The following is an 11061-nucleotide window of genomic DNA, read 5'->3' as shown; positions in this document are numbered from 1 at the left end:
TCCGCTATGTCAAGGAATGTTTTACTCAAGCAACAACATAAAATATTCATGAATTCTTAAAGATGGTGATGCTGGGTTTCTGGCATCAAATATAGCTGTATGGTTAGGAAATAGCTTCAAATGCAGCACACCCTCAGGCACAGTATCAGTGTGTGGATCATTACAAAGGGAACACTCTAGTGAATCTACAGAATCGAATCCAAGAAAGCTCTGCATTGGCTTCAGTAAATGGAGCCAATGCAGTAAATGGATGGCTTCCATCCACCAGTAAATGCAGAGGCCATGTTGACTTGCCCTCCTTACTTTTCCCCCAGTGTACTACCACTTAACTCCAGCAAAATGGATTCTCAATGACTTCTTTAATTGCTGCTCGAATTTCATTAGGTCTGTCGTCCCCAAGCTTTAGAGTGCTTATGTATCAGCTGCAGAGCTCACCAAAATGCAGATTCCTGAGCTGTATCTTAGAGATTCTAATTCATTCAGTCTGGGTAGGACCCAAGAATCTGCATTTTGGAAAGCACCGCCATGTCATTGGATGCAGATGTTCCATAAACCACCCTTTGAAAAGCATGAACCAAACTCTCCCTTTCTTCATTCATTCTCTAAGCTAAATTTTTAATCATTTTGCAACGGACAAGAGCATGAGTTAGGAAACTAGGCAGGTTTGGGTTAGAATCGTACATCTCTACCTAGTCTTATTAACCTTGGACAAATTACTTATTATTTTTAATATTGAGGTTTTCCCCTCATATTGTTGTAGTTGTATTTGTCTTTACCACTATCTTCAGTGGCCATCATCAGTTTAACAACGTGCACAGTTTCTATTAAGAATCTTATGGAGGCAGAATTTCTTCTAGGCAGCTGTGTGGCATCCTTTGAAATTAGCCTAGTAACCACTAGAGACACAGGTATTTTTTTTCTATAGCTTTAAAAAGTATTACTCTTTTTTTCTCTCTCTTACTTTTTCTCTTCTCTCTCTTTTTTTTTCCTTTCTTCCTTCCTTCCATTCTGATGTTTGTTGTTAAGACTATAATTTCTCCTATATTCCCCCAAATATCATAATCTAGCAACCTGCTAGATTCAAGTCAGAAATTTCATTTCTGGAGTTTTTCAAAGGTCCATAGTCTACCTTAGGGTTCATTGAACTAGGGTTATTTTATTGGCACAGATTTTTAAAGATTGTTAAAGTTAATGTGTTTTGACTTCTGCTCCTAGCATCTTCTTGGTGGTCCCATAAAAAGAAAACTGTCCTAAGTGACTCAACCACAGCTCAGAAACATCACATCTGCATCATTACATAAGAATACTTTCTGATGTATTTTTAAGCACTATATTCATAATGTCGGTCTTTAATTCAACTTGCATGCTGTGAAATTGGTCTGTTTTATATTTGTTGAACACTTCTTTTCATTTTATTTTTGCTTGAGTCCAGCAGTTAAATCATTTTTCCCATTTTTTATGGATTGACGTGTCAGGAAATTGAGTAATTCAGCTAATTAAAAGGTCTAAACCTCATCCCAGGTAATTGATTCACTAGAGAAAATGGAAGAAAGATGTGATATAGATAGCAATGCATTCTTGATACTCTTTTGGTCTCTTTTTATTGATTCAGCACATAGTTGTGAAATTCTAATCTGTCTGAGTCACCTGGCTCAGTGGGTTCTTCCTGAGTGCATGCACATATGTGTAGATTACATACATACAACTGTCACATCAGATTCCAACTATGAGAGTAGTACGAGGTTAATCAACTTGTATTCTTTCCTCTATTTTTATAAAAAGCCAGAGAAAACACTGGGAAAATGGCTAGGCAGGCCTGAGGTACAATGGGTTTATGACTCGTTCTTATATGTGTGTAACAGGGTCTCACTGTCACCCAGGCTGGTGTGGTCATAGGTCACTGCAGCTTCGACCTGCTGCGCTGAAGCCTCCTGAGTAGCTGGAACTATAGGTGTGCACCTCCACACCTGGCTTTTTTTTTTTTTAATTTTTTTTTTACAGAGATTGGGGTCTCACTTTGTTGCCCAGGCTGGTGTCAAACTCCTGGGCTCAAGTGATCCTCCAACTTCAGCCTCTCAAAGTGCTAGGATTACACATGTAAGCCACTGCACCTGGCCCCATTTTTTATATATACTGAGCAACTGGCTTCATAAGAAGAAAATCCAGGACCTTGTGTCCTGACCAAAATAAATTAATAACAAATTTTAAACCAGCAACACATTTTTTCTTTTTCAATGAATTACATGGACATTGATATATTCATTATTTCATTTTTATCCTTGTTTTTAACCTTTACTTATTTCTTTTTTTAAGCTTTATTGGGGGTATAACTAATATATAAAATTGTACATATCTAATGTATACAATTTGATGAGTTTGGATATATGCTGTCTGTGATCTCATCACCACAATCAAGATATTAAATATATCCATCACCTCCCAAAGTTTCCTTGTGTTCGTGTGTATATGTGTGTGTGCATGTGTGCATGTATGTATATATGTGTGTATGTGTGAGCGTGTGTGTATATGTGTATGTGCGTGTGTGTATATATGTGTGTATGTGTGTTGACGTATGTATATATGTGTGTATGTTTGTAGTAAGAACACTTAGCATAAGATCTATCCTCTGAACATATTTTCAAGTGTTAACTATCTGCACTATGCTGTACAGTAGTTCTCTAGGACTTACACATCTTGCATGACTGAAACTTTATATCCATTTTCTTTTTCTTTTTTAGGAATTTCAAAATGCTGTATTTGTATTCATTTCTAAGTACCTGGATGATGCCATACTCCAACTTTATGCGGTAATAAAAAAGAACCCATCCAGATATCTGTTCCATCAGTGAAGGCCATTTGATAAAAAAAAGTTCATATCAGTCATACCGGTAAGAGAAATACTGGTATATAAGGAGATAAGTGAAAGAAAGTATTTATAAAACAAGAAAATCTGTCATGAACTTGAGCAGACTTCAGCACACACTGTGTCATGCTAATTTGTGATGAAATATAATAGAAATTTTAAGGCAAAGGACAAAGTAATTTGATCCAGGTCTTGTGTTCGAATGTTCCCTGATCGATGCAACAGAAAAAAAATATTAAACACTAATCAAGGAAATTTGTTTAGGTGTGTGATAATGATATTGTAATTATGTTTTGATTTACTTTTATTTTTATTGAAGTATATTTGACAACTGTATATATTTAAGGTATACAATTTGATCATTTGATGTACAGATACATTGTGAAATAATCACCACAAACATGTTAATTAACATATCCATCATCTCACATAGTTACCTTTTTTCTTTTTGGGTGAGAAGCTTAAGATCTGTCCTCTTAGCAAATTTGAAGTATACAGTAAGGTATCATTAACCATAGTCACTTTGCTGTGCATTAGGCTTCCAGGTTGTATTCATCTTGCTAACTGAAATTTGTGCCCCTTGACCAACATTTTCCCATTTCCCCCAATAACAAATATTTCATTTTTTAATCAACAAATTTGAACATGTTTTATGTTGCAATTAGAAACAATTGAAACAAAAGCCCTCCTCTCTGGGGCTCTGGTCTGAGAGACAGAATATAAAAGTTACAATGTCACATAAGGAGAACAGCATGAAATCTGTAGTGCAGCCTGGATTTCGGACATCTTGGTATTCAATTTCTCATGCCAGGCATTTGGCACTGCTGGGTGTTTGCTACACCTGAACTCAATTCTTGTCACCATCTTCCTGGACTCTGAAACTTGTTCCTCCTTGGTGAGTTCAAAGACAACCCTTTCTTTGAGGCCTTCCCTCATCCTTCTTCCTTTATCAACTCCATGTTACCCTCAACTTTTCTCAAGACAAAATCAGTCATTCCCTTCCCTGAGCTCCCCAAATACTTAGAACGCACCTCTGAATAGCGGCGCCCCATTTTAAGACAGGTGTGGCTTATGTTTGTTCCTCTGATTTGACTACGACCTCTGGGAAGGCAGGGTCCAGCCACTCCATGCGCTTGCAGATCCTCTGGTCCTCCATGGGTACTCAAATACATGTCCTGGGTTGTGCTGACTCAAACAGGAGGAGAGACATCGCCCCCAGGCTGCTGCGCACCCTGTGTCTGCCCCAGCTCGCCTGCTCCCTGTCTCTCTCAGGCACCACTGGGTGGTTTTGTAGCAAGGAATAATAACAGGCAGCCCTCTTGTGGATGAGCCTGAGATTAACCAGTTCTTTTTTTGTGAAAGTTAGGTAAGGTGTGATCATACAATGCCTTGACCTGCTCCACTTCCCCAGGACTGTCCCACCTTTGTGTTTCAGGTATTTCAGCACTGACGCCTCACAAGAACATGGGATGTCACCCTCAAAGCCTGTATCTGTGAGCTTGGCAGGTTTCTGAGCTTTAAGACAAATAAAATGTTTTGGCCACAAGCACATATTTATGTGGTCTGGCCCAGCTGTGATATTGGGTAAACAGCAACTTTGGTGATGAGTCAGTCCATGGACCTGTCCCATGCATGATGCGAACCTGTGCCATGCATGCAGTGAACCTGCACAATGCACTACATGAATCTGTGTGATGCATGAAGTGAAACTGTGCAGTGCTGATGTGAATCTGTGCAATGCATGGAGTGAACCCGTGCAACGCATTATGTGAATCTGTGTAATGCATGCATGGAGTGGACCTGTGCCATGCATGGTGTGGACCTGTGCCATGCACGAAGTTCCATGTGTTTTTAAACCCAGCTCCAGCCAAAGTTATGTGTTATAAATTATTCCAGATTAAATTGAAATAAATATCAAATGTCAACAGAGAACCCCATCCACTGGACCAAACCTTCCCTAAAACACAACATAGATGAGTTCCAATGTGTTCTGTCAGCCTCATAACTACCCCTGTCAGGTAATTTATAATGCAATTCAAGAAGCTGTGTGCCGTTTCCTTACCTTTTAGGCCTCTTTTTCCCCTTTGGAATATCTCACCTTTTTAAACCACAGGAATAAAACTATGGTTAGAAATGATTAAATTTTAACTTACACATTCTGAGCATGGCTCAGTGTGTAAAGGAAAATCGCTTCACATTTTGGGCAGTAAAGCGAATCTGAAGTATGTCACACGAGTAATTGTCTCCTAGGAGACCCAAGCGCACATCATTGCCATGGAGACCACCTCGGTAGGCCCTCTCTGCTTGAAATGATTAGCATGGATCATCAGCTGGGGTTTGTTTTCGGGGAGGAAAGGCTATAAATACATGGCCAAGCCTTACAAACTATGACAAGTCGTGTGCTCGAGCATGGGCTTGGGATGCAGAGATTTCCAAGTCCAGCTCTGGCATCGCAGGGGAGGACCTCATGGACTGTATCCCTAACACACCGCTTGCACGTGAGAACAGACAGGAGCAGTCAGCACCAGGGGAGAGGGCAGGCAGCCAGCGATCCAGGAGGGGGGCTCCTCCGAAAGCCAGGCTGGGGAAGACTCTCCCCAGAAGCAGCCAGCAGCCGTTCCCTCGTTTGCCTTGCCTGACCTATGCCTCTCCCTGAGTGTTTCCAAAGGGCGGCAGCCGCAGGAGAGGGCCAGTGTTCCCGAGTTGGCTAGAGGAAGAAAAAAGCGTGCCATGGGAAAAATCTATTCTGTTAGCAATTTTGAAATATACGATACATTACTATTAACTGTGGTCACCATGCAAAGCAATAGATTACTAATGCTTACTCGTCCAGTCTAACTGGAGCTTTGTACACTCGGGTCAGCATCTCTTCTCATCCCCCTCCGTCCCCCCAGCCTATGGTAATCACCTTTCTACTCTCCGCTTCCATGAGTTGAGTCTTTTCAGATTGCGTATTTAAGTGAGATTATATAGTATTTGTTTTTCTTTGCCTGGCTCTTTTCACTTAAAATAATGCCTCCAGTTCTATCCCTGTTGCCACGAATGACAGAATTTCCTTCCCTTTTAACGCTGTACGTAATCCATTGTAAGGTGGTGAGGTGATATCTTAATTAGTTTGACTGAATATTTTTAAAATGTATACATAGATCAAAATAGATACAATTAGTATTTGTCAATTAAATTAATTTTAAAAGGAAGACAAAAATGCACAGTGTTCTGTTTTTCACCTAGATTCCCTGAAACTCATTTTTGACATAATAGCAGCAAAATTGCCATGAGAACAGCTTTAGCCATCATGTTCATTGCTGTACCCAGCTACTGAACCCCTCCTGTTTCAGAAACAGGTGCAGCGCTAGGTGCTGGCGCTGTGAGCTCAGGAGCCGGGGGAGGCTCCACCTCTACCCTCAGCCAGTGGCTTTTGTTTCAGGGATTGCCAGTGCATGTGGCACACCCAGCTGCATAGAGAGAATGGGAGAGGTCAAGGAAATATTTTGAAGACGTGGTTCACTAACAGCCAGAGGATGAAAAGGAAAAGGAAAAAAATGGCTGAAAAGATAAGTGTCAGAGTGTTGCTCACTCTGTGGCAGGTGGGCCTATGAAATCCTCTTGACTGGGACTTAAGTTTTATACACAACACTGGGAAACGTGTTTTCTGAGAACGCTGTTTTAACTGATGGGAGTCTGGAGGTGATGATATCTGAACATCATGCTTTTTAACCCTCTTATATTTTATTTATTAAGTGAAGTCTTAATATTTCTTCCACTTTTCTTGGGCTCCTAAGAGCACTTTTCCAAGCGTGCAGGGCTCTGCTCTTTGAGAGCTCTGATGTTGGCCACTCCCCCGTGGCACTCTGCAGGCTGTTACAGCCACGCTGATTCCACGGCATTTAGTGAGTGCTGGTTTCCATTAGTGGGCCTGACTTCTCGGGGGTCAGTGGTGCAGACAACTGCTTCGCAGCTGGCTTGGAGGCTCCTGGTGGGAAAGGCCTGGGTGTGACTTAACTTCGTGCACTTCTTTGATTCATTCATCCATGCAAAAAACAGTCCACCAAGCACTGAAGTGTCAAGCATTGGATGAGACTGGCAGCTCCCTGGGAGAGAGGCAGCAAAGTCAAGGAGCAAATGATCTGAGGCACAGGGCAGATAGCCGGCTGCACTCTGGCCATGACGCTGAGAGAGACACTGCTAGAGCAGGGGGCCTGTCACAGCTGGACATTCAGGGAGAGCTGCACTGAAGGACAGCAGGCATTTAGCCCTGCAAAGAGACGAGGGAAAACCCCAAAGCATCCAGTCTAGGGGAAGAGACAGTGGAAAGCCCAGGGGCGACATGGGTGGGGACTGTCCTAGAACTCCAGGCAGGCCAGCATGGCAGAGGTTAGTAAGGGAAAGTGTGGGCGGGTCCCACGTCATAAGACCTGCTTGCGGGCTTTGATGGCAATCTGTGTGGAACGCAGAGCCCCTGAAGGGCCTTCAGCACGGGATCATGGTGGCACTGGAGTTTCCAAAAAGGCACTTTTTTGAAGAGGTTGGAGGGAGGTGGGAATCGAACCCGTTCAGAAGAGATGGCTGTGGCTTGACTGCGGTTGCGCTAGGCTATGGGATATCCTTCCTTGGTGCAGCTGTAATCAGGCCCCAGAAATCGGGAGAAGATGGTTAGAACGCAGGCAAAAGTGGCATCATCATCACACCAACCACTTTGGGTTACTGGCTTTGAGGAAGCCAGGATCTCTGAAACTGGGAAAGAGTATTACCGAGGAGCACTCCTATGCCCCTATAAACTCATGTGCTGCAAATTGGTCACCAGTGTGCCCTAAGCATGTATCCCCTCATCGTTCAGGAAGATGCGGGTGAGGGGTGTCTGCGGCTGCTTCAGCCCCCTCCTCTACCATTAGACACAAGCAGCCTCGTCCATCCAGCCCAGCGTGCTGCACAAATGCATCTCCTGCTGTAAGTGCATGATGGGAGAAAAGCCAGGAACACAGAAGAATCTGCCCAAAATGGTTTTTGAAGTCTGTCCTCAGGAGATAATCTCAGGGACGTAAGAGGGTTCCATGTGCAAATAAGTTACGGAACCTTTGGCAGAATGCTGCACGCTACATCTTCTGTTCACCTTTGGGGATTTATAATGCAGCAGCTTACCAGTGACTCAGAAGAGGCCCTCAGTGAGAAGCCCATTTCCAATGTCCTTTAACTTAAGATTTCTCAGACATATTTGACCATGGGGCAAGGTTCTTTTTAAACATAATACCTATTAATATTTCATAGTGGAAACATTAAGAAATGCCATCATAAACTGGGCGCAGTGGCACACACCTGTAATTCCAGCTACTCTCAAGGCTGAGGTAGGAGGATTGCTTGAGGCTCGGAGTTCAAGGCTAGCCTCAGCAACATAGCAAGACTCTGTCTCTAAAAATAAAAAATAATTTAGAAAAAGAAATGTCATTATGGGTTTTCCTAGATTAAGATGGGTGGAGGGCTTTTGAAGGAGTAGAACAGAGAAAACTGGAATCACTGAAAAAAAATGAAGCAGCCAGGATGAATGCTTATACAAAATCTGCATGTATAAACAGATTCATTCCTTTAAATATATGCATTTTCAAAGCACGTTCACTCCTGATGCCTTTTATTCTCACAAGTGTGAGGCAGGTGGTGTTGGGGCTCAGAAACTAGTAACCCTAGTAACCCAAAATACATGCTGATATGCTGAACTGAGGAAGCCTCAAGGACTCTCACCTTAACCCCCTCCGCAACGGTCTCCACCAAGGAAGCTGAATTCCTTTATCTGCGTAAGATCCAGACCCACCAAGGAGAACAAGTATCTTTCCTTCCCCTCCCTGTTATCTCATTTTCTGTTGCAGAAAAGAGGACCAAGATGTGACCACACCTGAACGCACCCTTTTAGGAATATAATGACTATCTCCAAGGGTCATTTAAATACCAGACAGAACTATTTACAAGTTAATCTTCTTTCCTGGATTCAGTCAGTCTCCCTAGCAATTATTTATTACAGCCCAATAGAATTCCTCCTCTCTCCACTGCCATAAGCTGTTTTATCAGGATCCAAGCCCCCTTTTTGGAACTATCCCCACAGGGTTGACAATAATTGCATTACAAGTTCTAGGCCGGGCAAGGTGGCTCACACCTGTAATCCCAGCACTTTGGGAGGCCGAGGCAGGCAGATGATGAGGTCAGGAGATCCAGACCATCCTGGCTAACACGGTGAAACCTTATCTCTACTAAAAATACAAAAAGATTAGCGGGCGTGGTGGCGGGCACCTGTAGTCCCAGCTGCTGGGGAGGCTGAGGCAGGAGAATGGCGTGAACCTGGGAGGCGGAGTTTGCAGTGAGCAGAGATTGCGCCACTGCACTCCAGCCTGGGCAACAGAGCGAGACTCTGTCTCAAAAAACAAAAACAAAACAAAAAAAGAATTGCATTACAGATTCTAGACAGAAATATGGTTTTTGTCCTGCAAAAGGAAAATAAAATCTCAGGACTCCAAACTCACTATGCCTAAAGGAAATGTTAAACTTGGAAACTGAGTCATGAAAAAAAAATCTGCCTTTGCTTTTGTTCCTAAGCCAAGTTTTCCTCAGGTGGCCTCCCTTGCTTTGACAATGTAAATTAACAGTTTATCCTCATGGGTACGGGATAAGATGAGACTAGAAATTGTCCCTCCTCCCATTCCCTGACCAATGCATATTTGACTTATTCCTCAACTCTAGGTTGACTTTATCTGATGTAAAGTGCAGATTTACTGAGCATAAGCCGAATGCATAATTGACTCTTCCTCTACCCCATGCTTTTCACAGGCAATGTGTGGCTTCAGTGAGCACTAATCAAATCCTCATGAGAATGTGACCATACCCTCCCTCTTTTATTTTCTTTCCTCCTTCCCTTCCTGCCTTGTTTTTTCCCCCTTCAAATGTTGTAAACTTCAAAACTCTCTTTGGAAAATGTATGGGCCATAGATCCTACTGTGGCTTGTGTCTCTTTTTCCTGGATGTGTCCTCAACCTCGGCAAAGTAAACCTCTAAATTGATTGAGACCTGTTTCCGATACTTTTTTTTTGGTTTACTGCCGCTACACTGGAAAATAGTTTCATCAACGAAATAGCATCGTCCTCAGCACAGATGGTAAGTGCTGTCTGCTTGAAGAATGCCTCGCTTATTCATTTGAGGTGGTGGTGACCAAGTGCAGTCAAAGCCTTGATCTGATTTGATTTAAGCAGCTAGAAATAATCATGGCTGTCCTTCACGGCAACTAGAGGGGAGATTGTAATTAGCAGGATCTTTGTGTTTAGGAAGACCCACCTCAACTTTGAGGCTATTCTGTCTCCACTATTAAAATACCAAAACTAGAATGAACTGCTGGCTGTGCCACACACAAGCATGGCAAATTTAATATAGATCAAAAGGGATGAATTGTCCCCAGCCACATCTGGCTATGGAAGACGTGGCTATGAAAACCAGACATGATTCAGCATCTGTTGTTATGACAGAAGCTCTCCTAAGGAAATTTTGATGAGTAGTTGAGCTGTGGTGAACTGGCCCCAAATCTACTCCCTTTGAATTCATACAGAGCTCAAGGTTGGAAAAGAACCTAAATTAGCTCCTAAATTAGTAAAATCAAGCATTTTTATCATTGTATACACAGATTCTAAATGGAAACACATAAACTGAATAAGACAACTTGATAAAGGCAAGAAAGTAAATGTTACCTTTAACTCAGAGGATGAATATCATGTTTTTGGAGCCCAGGTATAAGAGCTGCATCTCAGGGACGACATTATGACAATAAAGAGTATTTATTTCAGACAAAAATTACATGACCTGTTTCACAGCCACATTTCACCAATTGTGTTGATTGTCGAACTTTTCTCCTTTGAACACATCTGTGGTTCATTGTTCTCCTGTATTATTCTCTTGTCAGCTTAACATTTTCCATTTCTTCTAATATTTCATCCAATTTTAGAGGCCTTTTGATATGGTTAGGCTTTGTGTCCCTACCCAAATCTCATCTTGAATTGTAATCCCCAGGTGTTTAAGGGAGAGACCTGGTGGGAAGTGATTGGATTAAGGTGGCAGTTTCCCCCATGTTGTTCTTGTGATAGTGAGTGAGTGCTCATGAGATCTGATGGATTTAAAAGGCAGTTTTTCCAGCTCTCACTAGCACTCTGTCTCCTACTGCCATGTGAAAA

At 42.3% G+C, this 11061-nt stretch overlaps 2 annotated features.

The window, feature by feature from the left end:
- Positions 6511-7010: an enhancer, noted in NCBI's record as "H3K4me1 hESC enhancer chr15:26422391-26422890 (GRCh37/hg19 assembly coordinates)". NCBI's record gives its function as "activates a minimal SCP1, AML or CMV promoter by ChIP-STARR-seq in naive H9 embryonic stem cells {active_cell/tissue: H9 hESC(naive)}" and the evidence as "EXISTENCE:reporter gene assay evidence [ECO:0000049][PMID:30033119]".
- Positions 7011-7512: an enhancer, noted in NCBI's record as "H3K4me1 hESC enhancer chr15:26421889-26422390 (GRCh37/hg19 assembly coordinates)". NCBI's record gives its function as "activates a minimal SCP1, AML or CMV promoter by ChIP-STARR-seq in naive H9 embryonic stem cells {active_cell/tissue: H9 hESC(naive)}" and the evidence as "EXISTENCE:reporter gene assay evidence [ECO:0000049][PMID:30033119]".

Source organism: Homo sapiens, chromosome 15 (genome assembly GCF_000001405.40).
Source record: "Homo sapiens chromosome 15, GRCh38.p14 Primary Assembly".
Lineage (NCBI taxonomy): Eukaryota > Metazoa > Chordata > Mammalia > Primates > Hominidae > Homo > Homo sapiens.
This window is presented reverse-complemented; position numbering and strand designations above follow the sequence as displayed.